This window comes from Homo sapiens, chromosome 2, assembly GCF_000001405.40.
Source record: "Homo sapiens chromosome 2, GRCh38.p14 Primary Assembly".
Classification (NCBI taxonomy): domain Eukaryota; kingdom Metazoa; phylum Chordata; class Mammalia; order Primates; family Hominidae; genus Homo; species Homo sapiens.
This window is the reverse complement of record NC_000002.12, coordinates 31,218,334-31,234,106: the sequence shown is the minus strand read 5'-3', so window position 1 is coordinate 31,234,106 and position 15,773 is coordinate 31,218,334. Positions and strand designations below refer to the sequence as shown.

Below are 15,773 nucleotides of genomic sequence, written 5' to 3'. Positions count from 1 at the left end.
GCCGGCGCGCAGAGGAAGTCCCCTAGTACTGGCAAGGCAGGGCCGGCCCCACGGTTGCGGCGACGGGAAGCCGCGCAGGGCGCCGCCATGTTTGTGGGCAGGCGCTCAGCTCTAGACCTGCGGCCGCGCGGGGAGAGGGATGCTGACCCAGTCCAGTGGGAGAGTGCCGGTGTCTCAGTCTCCGCCTCTGGGGCTTCGATTTGGGAACAGCGCCCTCTCAGGGACGGCTGCGAGGACAGAGTTGACCTATTCATCACACTCCCTGCTTTGAATCGCCTCTCCTTCAGTTGCTGAGGTCAATTCCCTAGGAAAACAGGTACTCTAGTATTGGGGGATTTTTTTTTTTTTTGGCATAGAAAGGGGATCCACTATCAGGTTACACAAAATAACCAAAACTGTCACTACCCAAACTTTTAGCTAGGCTTAGGGTGAAGTCAAAATCGTTCCCATTTACTTATTCATTCATTCCAGCAAAACAAAACAAGCCAAGAAGCAAAATCCCTGCAAGTATTGGGAATTTATTATGGGGCAGTTACAATTTTGGTGACTGTGGATACAGAGATGAGTGCTGAACAGACTCTCCCTTCCAGGAACTCCAGTGAAGGCAGGCTTTAAAGAGGAGGCATGAGCAGAGGGTCATGGGAATACAGGGAGGAGTCACTCCTTTTGTGTGGCTAATTTGAGGAAGGCTTCATGGAAAGCATGACTGTAAGCTGGATCCTAAATGATGAATTGACATCCATTGTTCTAGGAGCGTAAGGAGTATTTGCAAAGGCTTGAGGAACTTGGTGTGTCCAAGGCAGAGTAAACAGTTTGGCATAGCTGGAGTGTAGGGTTTAGGAAGGTGAAAGAGAGTGAGGGAGGCCAAGCATGAAAGGCTTTGCCAGAGATGGGGAACCAATAGCAATGCTATTACTAATCATTGTTACATTAACAAAATGCTCAGCATGTGCAGGGGCCTGGGCTAAGTTCTCAGTGAACATTGCTTTATTTAACCTTCATGGCAGATCATATTATCTCCAGCATCATACTAAGGAGAGTGAGTGGGAACACTGTCCAGGTGTAGGCAAAAGCAGTGCATCGTGTGTAGAGAATTTAAACCCAATAATAAACTTGCTGAAAGTTGATGTGCTTTGTATTGGCACCATTCTAAACAGTGTAGTGATAAAACACTCCTCCCTGCCCAGGCTAATGACTCCCACTACCCTCCCTTCCACAGATGAAGAAGGAGTAGGCTATGGACCAGGCAGGAACTGGAATGCCAAGAGCAGTGTTGGAGGGGCAAAAGAGGTTGGGGGTTGATATGGTTTTGCTTTGTGTCCCCGCATAAATCTCATCTCTAATTGTAATCCCCATAATCCCCATGCGTTTAGGGAGAGAGCTGGTGGGAGGAGATTGGATCATAGGGACAGTTTCATTCATGCTGTTCTCATGATAGTGAGTGAGTTCTCGTGAGAGCTGATGGTTTTATAAGGGGCTCTTCCCACTTGGTTCCTCATACTTCTCTCTCCTGCCGCCTTATGAAGGACGTGTTTGCTTCCCTTTATGCCATGACTGTAAGTTTCCTGAGGCCTCTCTAGGCATGCAGAACTGTGAGTTAATTAAACCTTTTTCCTTTATAAATTACCCAGTCTTAGGTATTTCTTCACAGCAGTGTGAAAACAGACGAATACAGAGGCCAAGAGACCATTTAGGAAACTATTCCAAAACTTAGGAGACAGCTGCAATGGGATTGGAGAAGAGGTCAGACTCAAAAGATTTTTTTCATGGAATAGAATTGTCAGATCTTGGTATGTGATAAAAAAAAGAGGACATAAGGGTGAGGCACAGTCTAGGATGATTTTGAATTTTCTACCATAGGGGATAAGATCATTGGAGAAGCTCTTCCACTAATTAGGGGAGGCAGAGAGAGAGCTGATTTAGCAGACAGAGATAATGTGTTCAATCTAAAACGTGTTGCGTTTGAAGTGCCTGCAGGAGCTTCAAGAGGAGTGTGGTGAAGCTGCAGGGATTTCAGGGGAGGGGGGATTATCAGAGGCCAGTGCTGAATAGAATCTCCTTAGTTACATCTCAGATCTCCCGACTCCCTCCTTGAACCCCAAAACTGATCATCTCTTGTTGAGAATTCACTCAGATTAATATTTCACCCTTGGTGTTTAGCTACTACCAACATACGAACCTAAGGAGTAATATTAAAGATATTTAACAACTCACAAGGCATGAGAATCAAACACCCGGAACAGACACTGGCCTTCCTAGTGGAGCAAGGCTTGCGGCCCCGTGCCACGCCTGGTGTTAATACAGTGGCGTCTGGACCTTGGAGAGATCTGAGCCTGTCCCCGGAGAGAGGTCAGTATGGCCAGCGTGACAGGAAAGAAATCAAGGGGCCCCATTATGGAAGTATTTCAAGAATTTTGTAATCAGTACGGCCATGCCATTGTCTACTGCTGAATGTCTGTTCCGAATATCTAATTTACCAAGTGCGTGTTGACACATCTACTCCCGTCTCAGTCTTGAGTAGTTGAAATCTATCTGTTTAAAAAAGGAACTAATGGAGCATTTCTATAGACTAGCAATAAAAGGTCATGAAAGATAATATTCAAAAAAGATACTGTGTTCAAAAGAACAAAAACTTACGGATAAATCTGACAAAAGATATGCAAGATCTTTATGTGAAAAATAATAAAACTTTATAGAAAGATGTTAAAGAAGTTCTAAGTAAATGGGAGAGACATGCCATGTTCCATTGTGGAAGGATTCCTTGTCACAAACATGTGAATTCTTTACAACATGATTGATAAATTCAATAATTGAGAGATATGATTGAAATCAAAATCTAAATAAGGTTTTCCATGGAAATTGACAAGGTGATTCTAAAATGTATAACTTATAGAGCAATAGTAAAAAAAAGCTTAGATATTCCAGGAGAAGAAAGAAGATAAGAAGAATAAGGAGGAGGAGAGGGAGAGGTGGAAGGGGAAGGAGGGCAGAAAAAGGAGAACAGAGAAGAGAAGAGGACAACAGTAACATAGCAATGGCAACAACTAAGCGAAGAGGACTTGCCCTAGTGGACATTGTTATGGAGTTACAGTGGTTAATATGGTTTTGGCACAGAGACCAACAGAATAACAACACAGTAAATAGCCAGGAAATTTGGAAGCCTGACATATACAGAAGTTGCAATAGAGATTGCATATATATCACCACAAAGTCAGGAAGAGTTCTTTAAACAAGACGTCAGAAGCACAAACTGAAAAATGAAAAAAACTAAGTTTAGCACTAGCAAAATTTAAAACTTTCGTTCAACTAAAAATACAAAAGTGAGTGAAAAGATATTTCCTATACACAAAAACCCATGAAAGCACATCCAGAATATAGAACTAATGGCTGTGCATCGATAACAAAGACAAACATTCCAATAGAAAAAAACTTGGCAAGAGCTACAAAAATGTCTTTTACAAGAGGCTACATGAATGCCCTATAAACGCAAGAAAACATGTTGCATCTCATTAGTAATTAGAGAAATGCCAAACCACACTAACACTCCATACCCACCAAAATGGCAAGAATAAAAAGTTGGATGGTAGGGTTGGTGAGGATGTAGAGCAATGGGAGCTCTCATAAAATGCTGATGGGCGTGCAGGCTGGCACAAATACTTTGGGAAACAGTTTGGCATTGCTTAGTGAAGCTGAAGATGTGCATGTCCTATGACCTATCTCCTTCCATTCTATTTCAAGGCGTGATCTAGAGAAACTCTTGCACATGTGCATAGGGAGATAAGTCTTAAGAATGTTGATGGCAACATTATTTGTAGCAGCAAAAATTTATAAACAACTAAATGTCCTTCACCGAGTAAATGGATAAATGTGCCACATTCATATAAAATATATACCACACTGGGGTCTAGTTGAGGGTGGAGGGTGGGAGGAAGGAGAGGAACAAAAAGCAAGAACTATTGGTTACTAGACTTAACACCTGGGTGATGAAATCATCTGTACAACAGACCTCCATGACACTAGTTTACCTATATAACAAACCTTCACATGTACCCCCGAACCTAAAATGAAAGTTACAAAAAATACATACTCTACAGATGAGAAAAATGAGGGAAGTGGTGCTACCTATGCCAAAATATGGTGTTGAGTGAATAAAGCCAGAAGTAGGCTATTATGCATAGAATCATACAATTTCATTAATGTTTCAGGTCATGCAAAAACCACTATCTGTTGTTCATGGATGCATATGTGTGCATTGAAGTTTTTAAAAAGAGAAGCAAAGGAACATAAAACACTAGTCAGGAATGGGGTGTTCTCTGGGACAAAAAAGGGAAATGGAATTGGGGATGGGTACACAGGGAGCTTCAGCTATATACTATATATACACTGTTTTCTTTCTTTTTCTTTTCCTTTTTTTTTTTTTTTTTTTTGGACATAGGGTCTTGCTCTGTCACCCAGGCTGGAGTGCAGTGGCGCCATCTTGGCCTACTGCAACCTCTACTTCCTGGGTTCAAGAGATTCTCAGCCTGCCTCAGCCTCGCAAGTAGCTGGGACTACAGGCATGAGCCACCACACCTGGCTAATTTTTGTATTTTTAGTAGAGATGGAGTTTCACCATGTTGGCCAGGCTATTATTCCTCAAATTTGATAGTGAATACTTGGCTGTTCATTTCTTATTCCTTTTATCCTTTATTTTAAAAAAAATCTGGTCCTTGGATGCACAAAGTTGGAATTTTTTTCATAACTGTGGTTCAAGACAAACTACACCTGGCTCCTTTATTATATTTTTAAAAAACTTAACACATGTTTTTGTAATGGACCCTTGATGAACCTATCATTCAAACCAAGGACTAGAAAAATTAGCAGCAATTTACATCTACTTATGTGCTCCTCCCCATCCTGTCTCCTGCCCCTTCTCCTTCTTTCTAGAGGGGACCCCTATCCTGAATCTACTGTGTGTTGTCCCCTTGCTTTTTAATTACGGTTATACACAAATGCAAGCCAAAAGAACATATTGTTGAAGTTTAGTGTTTTTGGACTTTTTCTAAAAAGCATATCCTGCTGCATGTAATGCCCCTGGAACTCGACTTTTCTTGCATTCAACATTTGTTTTCAGCCCCATCTGGCTCCACAGGGCCCTCTCCCACCAGGTGTCTCTTCCAAACCCAGCACATGCCTCCTATTTCTGTCACCTGCCAGGTGCATGGGGGTTCCCAGTCAGACAACCTGCAGTAGATGGAGTCCTGGTGTCCCCGTGTCTTTGCTGTGTGAGCTTGGGGAAAGTGGCTTCACTCTCAAGCCTTAGCACCCTGGTCTCTGAAATAAAGATGGCAATAGCATTTTTTCAGGATTAAAGGGACCGTGCATGTAAAGTGCCATTGAAAGTGTTCAGTATGTATTAGTTCTTAATATTATAATGATTATTACTTTTATCCACTACATGGCACTGCCTTATATCCTATTTAAGAAGCTGTTTAATAAACTATTGAATAAGCTTAGTATTTAATAGCTGTAATATTTAATAAGCTATTTAATATGCTGGCACCTAATAAGTTAGTGAGCAACTTCTTTCACTTCATTTGTGTCTTAACTGAGGATGGCTCATTGACTCAAAGGAATATAATTTTTAGTAGTGATATCTGTGGTGTTTGCTCTGGGTTCTTAGGGGTGACACTATGAAACAGAAGACTTTTCCATCTCTTCTGTTTCTCCCACTCAGATACTAACTCAGGCCGAACCCTCCTTAGCTTCCAAGATCAGATGAGATCGGGTGCATTCAGGGTGGTGTGGATACAGACACTTCCCTTTCTCATCCACAACACCAGAGTCTGGCCAGAAGTAAAGGGAGAAGATGGAAACTGTAGCAGCAACCTGGAATACAAGTTTGAGCCCTGGCTAGGGGAGTTAGAAGAATTGGGAAGTGGGACCAAGTGTCCATAATCTTAGGAATCTATGGCCCCTTTCAACCTGGCCCAACTACCATTGCATCCTGGTGACCTGCCTACAACCATGCACGCATGCGTGCCTCCCACAGCTGCTTCCTGCTCCTCACCACGCGGGCTCCTTTGCACACCCTGTCTTCAGCCTCAGTCTTCCCTTCCCCACCCTCTGCCTGGTGGGCACCCACTCATACCTTAAGGCTCAGTGTGGTGGTCCGCCCTCTGAAGAGCTGAGTCAGCAGCTCTCCCATAAGAAGGCTGTGCCCCTCTCCCCACTTCCAAGCTACCCCACGTAAACCTCTGTTACCGCATTCATCACATGTTACTATAATTACATGTTTAAATTGTTTGCCTTCCAACTAGACAGGGCACGTCTTCAGCCTGACGCAGTGCTGTACTCATTCTGTTTACTTCAGTTGGAGGCGAAAGTGCATCAGCTCAGCCAATTCCTACTGATGAGATCAGGCCGAGTTAAAACCTCTTTTTATGACAAGGTCCTCATCAGTGAAACCAGGGTAAGAGAAACACCAAAGGCAGAAAAGTGCCAATGACGCTTCACAATGTTGTTGTGGGGATAAAATGAAACAATGTAGGTCAAGGACCTGATACGTTTTTATAAGTCTATAGTAAGCGCTCAATAAATAGTTCCCTTTCCCCTTGGATGAATGAGTACTGAACGTGCACAAGGAAAGGGAAGTCTAGAATAAAAATACACAGGTGAGGGAACTGTGCTTAGGAAGTTTATAAGCCAAAAAGGAGATGAAGAAAGAGGGTCTGTCTGAGTCTAGTTGATGGGCTGTCCAGGAATAACACTCCCCATTCATACCATCGGTACCACAGCTACTTAATTGCTGGAATGCGGCTGTCTCATACATAGCAGCTCTCCTTGGCAGAAAGTCAGTTTCATCCCTGGGTGCAGCAGGAGCAGAGCTAACCTGAGAAATCCAATATTACACGGAGGAAAGCCCACACCACGAGAGGCAGCGGTGTGTATCTGGTTTTAATAAGATGCCTGCTTCTAAGAACCTCAACTTCCAAAGGCAAGACATTTGCTACCTGCAAGATGTGAGCTATAATTCGAAAATCTCCTAATTATGGTCAGTGTCTGCTTTTGTAGCACAGGTGTTTCCAGAGCGTGGGCATCTAGTCCTCATGGCAATCCTGAAGAGGAAGATAGGGATGTTTCCCAGAGGGAAACTCAGGTGCAGAGAGGTAGGAAACTGCCCACACAGGCATCTTTGATTGAGCTATCTATCATCCTACTCACTTTCCCCTCAGTCCACAAAAAGTGGGAGGCAGCTTACCGAAATCCCTTGAATTCTAAAAAATAAATGAACCCTTGAGGCAGCTGATATGAGGGGAATGGGCAGGTGAATGGTACAGAAATATCAGAGGGAGATGAGCAGGAGGCCCCCAGAGGTGAGCAGCCATCACACTGGGCTCTGAGCTGCTTGATCAGTGCAAAAACAGAAACAAGTTATTAGTTCCAAACCCAAATATATCTGTCTGTCCCTGCCAGCAGGATCTTGATTGCACCATCCCACTCAACAGCCTCGCTTGGGTAAGGGAAACACCAAAAGCAGAAAAATCCATGCTGAAGGACCCCAGGACCAGCACCAGTTCCTGAGCATCTTTCCCGGGCTGTAAGTGTTGTTTACATGTCTGTCTCTTTGCCAGGGGAGATAGAGGAAGCACCTTGAGGAGAAAAGCTCTCTTTTAACCCTGCACAGGGCTGGTGCAGGCACTGAAGTTGACTCATTCCTGATGTGGCTTTTGACAAGCAAACAAAGATTAGAAATGTGAATTACCTGTAGTTGGCCAATTATTATAACCTTATATGTTATAACAGATAAGTCTATGACTACAAAAATGTCTGTGAGCACAGAGAACCTGATAAAGGCAGAACCTATGAGCGTGGGATATTTAAAAATACACAGGCAGACAAAGTGGGGTATTAAAGTTTGGGGTGATAATGTATCAGGAATTATTTCCGCATTCTTTACTAGTTCTCTCGGTTCAATGATCTTCTGTTCTCCTTTGATTTGTCAAATCTTAAAGATAAATTATTATAAATTATTAGATAACACAATCCTTATTTCAGAGTTATCTATTTTGTTTCCATGAGTTATTTGCCTAAATTAGTATTATGCCATTTAAATTACAACAACTTTTGATAAATTTTAATATCTGGTATGAATAGTCGCCCTCCCTTACTAGTATGTTTTTAAAATTTCTTAGATATTCTCACTTTCTTCTTATTTTCATCATTGTCTTCCTCCTCCTCTCCCTTTCTGTCTTTTATTTTTTCCAGTTGAAAAGTAATTATGAAAATTTGGGGGTAATTTTGCTTCAATCTTTTCTTTTGTGCACTTATATTTAACTTACCATCTGATCTTTTCCCCCAGTCAACACCATACCACCAGTGTTTTTACATATCCTGAAAAAATATTCCAATAATTAAATTGAAATGAATGCTAATATTCAGCCATATGGAAATTCTGTAATCTAATTAACTATATTCAATAATGGACAGATAAGTCATTTGCAAAATTATTGTCAACAATAATAAAAGCTCTATTTCAGAGTTATCTATTCTGTTTCTGTGATCATCATTGAAAGATGAACATTTTTGTATGTAAATATTCATCCATGGTTTTATTTTCTTTGTATATATTTAATAAATGAAATTATTGGGAATATTATTAATGCTTTTGATACTTATCACCAAATTGCTTTCCAAAAAAGGCACATCAATTTATATACTTACCACAATGATATCAGAGTTCCTACATTTTTTTCTCTCACTCCAGCCCTGTATGTTATTATTTTAAAATATTTTCATTTTATTAAAATGTAGTTATCTCTCATTTAAAAATTTAAAACTTATTATTTTAAAATATCCATCAATTTGGGAAGTGAGAAATGATAGACTTTTAAAAATCAGTATATATTTTATTATGAAAAAGTTTTGAAATTGTTTATGAACCATTTATATTTTTCTGATTGTCTATTTTTTCCCTTATTTTTCTAAAAGCATTTAGTGTTTTTCGTATTGTTTTGAAAGAGTTTTTAATTTTTACAGTAAGGACATTTATTAATCTTTTGTCTGTGTCTAATCCAAGTTAATTTTAATGTTTCGCCAATTACCTTCTCCTTGTCTTCTCTCTCCTACAAAACCGAATCATTGGGATCTCTTAATCAGAATCTCATTAAAACTGTGAATTAATTTTAGGAATGACATATTTTTAATACTTAATCTTTCCCTCCAGGAATATGACATGACTGTCTATTTATTCACAAATCTTTTATATCTCTATAAACTTTTTATAGTTCTCCTCAAATAGGTCAAAAACATTCCTTGATTATTCTCAGATATTTTATAGTTTATTATTATTACAAATGAAATATTTCTATTATGGTACCTTCTAACTGGTTATTGTTATATATAGGAATCCCATTAATTTAAACAATATATATAGTTATTTTATTTACTATTTATTAATTTTAGTTTATTCTTTGTTTTTCTACTTACATAAAGATTATCAACCAGTGCTTTTCTTTTTTATTAATACTATGTTGGTTTATAATGTATATTTCATATTTTGGCTACAATTTTCAGAACAGTGTTGAAAACAACAAAGATGTGAGCATTCTTGTTTTGTTCATGATTTCAATGATATCCTGGTACCTGTCTGGATTCTTTTTTCTCTCCCCACCTCAACTTCTTCACCCCTTGGCTTGGGCATGATGATCTCTTTGAACACTTATTTTTTCCTTTTGGCTGGATAAAAAAAATATTCTACCAAAGCAAAGCATCTAGTGTGTAGTATCTTCTCAGCTTTAACAGACATATATATTTGTATGTGTATAGAAGCCTTCATATGTAAATGTATATGTGTGTTATGTACTGAGTGTTCTTTCCTGGGAGCCTGGGTAGATGGTGGTGCCATCAATGGAAGCTGAGACCGTAGAAGAGTCTCAGGAGCAAGCAGTCAGTTTGAGGAGTTCTCTATTGATAGCCACAAGAATACTAAAGCACTGCCCCAGTCTCTTCTCAAAAGGCTTTTCCTTTACAGGATGGGACGGAATTCACATGTTAAAGAGACAAGAGATTTAACTGATGACACACTCAACGTGGATCAATACTGAGATGTAGTTGCGAAAAATGACGATGGGATTCAGGCTGTATGAAAACAAACATAGGAAAAAATGACTATCAACATTGATGGAGAGCCTGTTATATGTCAGGTGTTATGCTAAGTATTCTTACATAGATGACTTCATTTCATTTGCACAGTGACAGCTCAAAATGTCATTATTCTCCCAGATAAAGAAACAGAAGCGGCCAGGCTTGGTGGCTCATGCCTGTAATCTCAGTACTTTGGGTGGCCAAGGCAGGTGGATCACGAGGTCAGGAGTTCGAGACCAGCCTGGCCAACATAGTGAAACCTCATCTCTACTAAAAATACAAAAAATTAGCCACGCGTCGTGGTGGGCGTCTGTAGTCCCAGCTACTTGGGAGGCTGAAGCAGGAGAATTGCTTGAACCTAGGAGGCGGAGGCTGCAGTGAGCCGAGATTGTCCCACTGCACTCCAGCCTGGGACTCCATCTCAAAAAAAAAAAAAAAAGAAAAGAAAAAGAAAAAGAAACAGAAGCTTAGTACTTAAAATGAGGCAGAGTAGGGGAGGTGTCACTGTCTTTCTGAAGGGTAGGATGTTGAACTGACTGATGTGCTCCAGATGGGGTCTGATGGGACATATTTAACAGTGAGGGAACTGGTCACCCTAAACTGTGCTGTGTGAATAATTTAAGGAGCTAAAAATTTGAAAGTTACATTTGAAGTGCTGTCACATGGGCTGGTGAAAACTCTGGATAGAGGGTGAGCCAAAGATAATCAATTTAGTACCGTGGTATTGCCCACTTGCAAGATTTCCGTTTCTTTCTGCATCTGCATGCTGATAACCTTAAACATTCCTGTCTCCAGTTTACACTTCTCCTTTTGTCTTAGTCAGTTTAGGCTGCTAGGACAAAATGCTGTAGATTGGGTGGCTTATAAACAATAGACATTTATTTCTGGCTGCTCTGGAGGTTGGAAGCCCGAGATCACGGCACCAGCATAGCTGGGTTCTGGTGAAAGTCTTCTTCCAGGTTGCTTGTTGCCAACTTCTTGTTGTATCCTCACATGGCGGAAAGTTGGCAGGAGAGTTCTCTGGGGTCCCTTTTATAAGAGCCCTAATCCCATTCATAACTCCGATTCATAAATCCCATTCATTGCTCCACCCTCATGATCTAAGTACCTCCACAAGGCTCCATCTCCGAATGTGATCACACTGGGGGTCAGGATTTCCACCTGTGAATTTTGGGAGGTCGCAAACATTCACTCCGTAACATCTTTGAACTCCAGATCTTTTTCTGACACTTTCACTTGGATATCCTGTAGACCAATCACACCTAGTCCAAGGGGTTAAAAGGTTCTCAAAAACCTCTCAGTAAGCACCAAATCCAATCATTAGTGAATAATCACAATTATGATTTTCAAAAAATGTATTGAGTGCATATTATGTACCAGCCCCTGGACTAAATGTTTTATATTCATTACAAAACAAACAATTGAATTTTTCCACTAATCATGTAAAGTATCTATCATTCCCATTTTGTGGATGATAACACTGAGGCTCTTAGAGGTGAGTTGCTATCTTGAGGCTATCCAACTAGTAAGCAGTAGCATCAGGGTCAAACTGCAGGCTGATCTGACTCCAAACGTAAGCTCTTTCTAGGATGCAAACTCCACATAATTCCAGAGAGGGCAGGTCAAAGTGAAGGTTGCTATGTGTTCGGGAGGCCCAGGTATGAAGGCCACCTAAGCGACTAATGTTTTCAGAGCTGCTTCCTCTTTCGAAAAAGCCCAGACTCAAAGACTTACTAGATATCATGCTTTTCAGTTGAGGGGAAGTTTGGTCTTTTATGCTTTGAAAGGCACAGATAAACCTTTCCTTGGAACTGTAGGAGGAAAATTCATTTCAACATAAGTCTCTTCCATGTTCTATTGAAAACTTTTGCCCACACAACTCCATAAAAGTGTGTTATTTTCTGTACATAGAGAATCCCTCTATTTTAAGATAATGCAAGCCTTAGGATGGCTATTTGACATAGTTGTTAAGGTGAGGAATTCCTTTGACTGGCAGACCTGAGGCATCCATGCTAGACACAGTGCTTCAGAGGGTTGTGTGTGAAAAACTCCCAGGAATTGGGGCTGCTACATTGGCAACTGTGCTAGAGCCCTCACTCTGGCTGGGGTGCTGCTGACTTCAAGGCACTTTGTCCCTCTTTTCTTGCATCTTCTGGGCATCAGTCGCAATGTCTTATTCACTTTTGTATCCTTGAAATTAGTCATGGTTTATTTACCACCAGGGCTTCTTTCCGACTATACCCCAATGACATGAAACAGAAGCCTTGCAACCGTCTCTCGGAAGGAAATGCAGAAACCACGCTGTTCTCCCTGGCGATCAGTGTTCCCTGTCATGAGCATCATAATGGCAAATACAAATACATTTTCTGCCAAGAAAGATAGGTAGTTTACAAGTCAGAAGGAAAACAAAGCCAAAAGTAAACCAAAAAAAAACCAAACCCCAAAAAGGCAGATGAACACAGGTAAAACTGTGAGACACTTGGAGAAAATGATATCAGGAACAAAGAAAGGGTCAAGAAGAGAATGGTTAGAAATATGTTCCTTAGTAGTGTATTGATTTGGACCCATTAAACAATGCCAAGTACACAATTAAAATAGAGGCAGAAAATAAGAAACATGCACTGTACCTGCCTTGCCTCCCTGATTGGCATGGCTCACAGCCCTGTCCCCAAGCCCTCCCCAGACAGAGCAGTCCTTGTCAATCAGAATTCACTCAAATTATTTGTTATGAATAAATGTTCTTGAAATTTTAATTAGCTCTCTGATAACTTAGGAAAACACCCTTCTGTTGAGAAAATAGCTTGTCTGTGTTTATTTTTCAAACTTCATAGTGAATTTCTTAACGAATATTTTTCTGTGACATTCTAAAAATATTGTGAATGTGAAGGATTTAATAACTTAGGTCTTGGAATTTACTTTGAAACCTTGGCGATGACTTTTCATTTATGAGCTACCCCACAAAGCCTCTTTTTATTATCTCGGTTCTTGGATAAATTTCTAATGCTTGAAAGTTATATATGGAATCATCAATTTTTCCTTTCATTCTTCTGAACTTGTTATTGTCTTTTCTCCCACTCACAAATCAAAGCCCTTCTCTTCTCCTTGTTGGATCCTGGTTTTGAAAATGTATAACCAAACGAACAAAAATCAGGTGGAAAAAAACATCAAGGAATAGCATGACTTGTCAGTTAGTGGCGTGATCTTGGCTCACTGCAACCTCTGCCTCCCTGGTTCAAGCGATTCTCCCACCTCAGCCTCCTGAGTAGCTGGGATTACAGATGTGTGCCACCACACCCAGCTAATTTGTGCAGTTTTAGTAGAGTTGGGGTTTCACCATGTTGGTCAGGCTGTTGGTCATGTTGGTCTCCTGACCTCGTGATCCGCCTGCCTCGGCCTCCCAAAGTGTTGGGATTACAGGCGTGAGCCACCATGCCTGGCCGTCAGTTAGTTTTATGAAGCTTTGGTGCTGCTGCAGCCACCACAGCCTGACATCCCCTGTCTGTGGGGCTGCCAGAAGTAACCCTGGCCAGGGTAATGCTACCCCATGACTTTCTCGCTTTACTCTTATGTTGGCAAAGGGAGAATCAATGGTTAGAGCTTAGCCATAGGCATTTCAGTAGTTTTTCTTATTTACAGTTGTGTTGGATACAAAACAGTTTTACTTGTTCCTTAACGTGAGTCTAATGAAACCCCATAAATAACCTGTGTGCCCATGAAGGGTCACCTTGGAGCAGTCATTATTTACTATCTCAGTACTCTATTTTATTCCTCAACTGGATTTTTTTACTTCTTATTTCAGTGCCCCAAATTCCAACAATCAGGGATTCATTTGGAAAAGGAGTTCTCTATTTTAAAAAATGCAAATATTATGGTGAGGTTAAGGACTTGGAAGCTATTCACACAGTAGTGAGACATCAGGAATTCAATTTGATTGCTTTCCCGTGCCCTGAAGGAATGAGAATTTTGATTAGAGGGAAAGGAAGGAGAAACTTTAGAGAGCAATTAGGTTTGTGGGAGAGGCAGATTATTTAGGGCACTTGGACTCTTCTAGAAGAAGTGGGAAGTAGGACATTAGAAGGTGCCACAGACGCATTTGACCTCCTTTGAATGTTTGCTCAAGGCTGGTCCCAAACAGAATCATAATATGTTGTAACAGAAAGTAGAGAGATGACGAGCACAACTGTGTTTCACATGATTGAGTCCCAGAAAGAGGAAATGGCTTGCCCAGCTTCACAAAGTTAGTGAACCTACATCTGTGTTTCTGACTTTCAAGCCAACCCTCATTCTCCAATACTCCACTGTGCCACCAGCCGAGGAATGCATTTCCCTCTTCTTTGCCTCCAGGACTTAGAACTCTAGCAAGTGCTCCGGTTCTACTGCTCCTGAGCTTGTGAAGCCCATCAAAGCCTTTCTGGGAAAGGCTTCACCACTCCTAAAATCTTGTTTCCACGGGAAAGTAAATTTCTGGTCATAAATCACAAACTTGCCAACCCACTTCTGGTCCACAGCCCACTGTGGGTCAGGATTGCCTGTGCCTTGCAGAGACAGAAGGCTCATCACCAGATGCACTTGCCTTCACTGCCTTTTTCTCAGGCATACTAGTCTGTCCTGGGTGACAGTCGGAAGCCTGGGGAAGGGATGTATGACCTCTGAGATGTTAAAAGGCCACAGTGCTGCTGTGCAAGGCTCCCCGGCCATCTGTTTCCTGTCACCCAGGACAATAACTTTCAAGAGTTGTCACGGGAGGAAATGGCCCTTGGGCCTTACCCTATGCGTCTCGGTGGCTCTGTGAATCCGCAGCACAATTTATGGTAAGCCCAGTGGTGACCATAACAACAACTTAGACATAGAGTGAGCCTAACCCTGTGCCAGGTGCAGGGTGCTGTCCCAAGGGATGAGCGGAAGCCCCCCACCTGGAGTCCCTGAAAAGATGATGAATAGAAGGGGGAAGATAACTAAGGGCCAGGATGAGGAGATGAAAATGAAAAGGTTATGTCTGGGAGATAGATAATAATAATAATGGTCTTCCCAGATCCACTGCTTCTGCTATCCTCATAACACCTTCAGACCCATGCGAGGAAGGGTGGCTATTTGGCACATGAGGCAGGGGGAAGGCTCCAAAGAGCGTTTAGCTCAGGAAGAAAGCTTTGGATTTGATTTGACAGTGGCAGGGAGACAATTCCTTGACAAAGATGAGGAGAAGTTAGTGGAACCTGACACCCTGGGACTTTAGCCCCATCTCTGCTGTTTACTGGCTGCGGTTATCTTGGGCGAGTTGCCATGCTGTGCCTCCGTTTTCTTTTTGTAGAATGTGGATAATAATAGCACTACCTCACAAAGTTGTGAAGATTCCATGAGATTCTGCATGCAATGTGCTTAGCATTGTGCTTGGCATGTCATAAGTGCTCAAAACGTGTTGGCTATTATTATCAATATTAGTTAATTTATCAGTACTAATAAAATGGGTGGAGTGATAATCACACAAAATGATTGAGTTGGAGAGATTAGAGTCAAGGCAGAGGCCAAGAAGCAGGCGGGGAGGAAGAGGACAGAGGATTTCCACAGGCAAGGGACTCTGATTCCACTGACACATATTGAGCACCTCCTGGGTACTAGGCATGGTTCTGGGTTCTGGGGATCCTAGGTGT

The 15,773-nt window shown here is 41.4% G+C and overlaps 1 protein-coding gene and 1 pseudogene across 4 annotated transcripts in view; one reads left to right on the top strand and one right to left on the bottom strand.

Annotated features, from left to right (window-relative positions):
- Nucleotides 1-149: 149 nt before the first annotated feature.
- CAPN14 (calpain 14) overlaps nt 150-15,773 on the top strand; it is a 60,902-nt gene continuing 45,278 nt past the window's right edge. For 2 of the 4 annotated variants that reach the window (NM_001321270.2, XM_011532865.2), the window contains exons 1-2: nt 150-316; nt 7,456-7,579. The gene's annotated coding sequence lies outside the window, so the exon portion shown is untranslated. Of the gene's footprint in view, nt 317-2,160; nt 2,350-6,352; nt 6,452-7,455; nt 7,580-15,773 lie in introns of all 4 variants that reach the window. The other 2 variants (XM_047444407.1, XM_011532864.4) reach the window with 2 other exon arrangements.
- Nucleotides 5,697-5,795, bottom strand: RNA5SP90 (RNA, 5S ribosomal pseudogene 90; annotated as a pseudogene).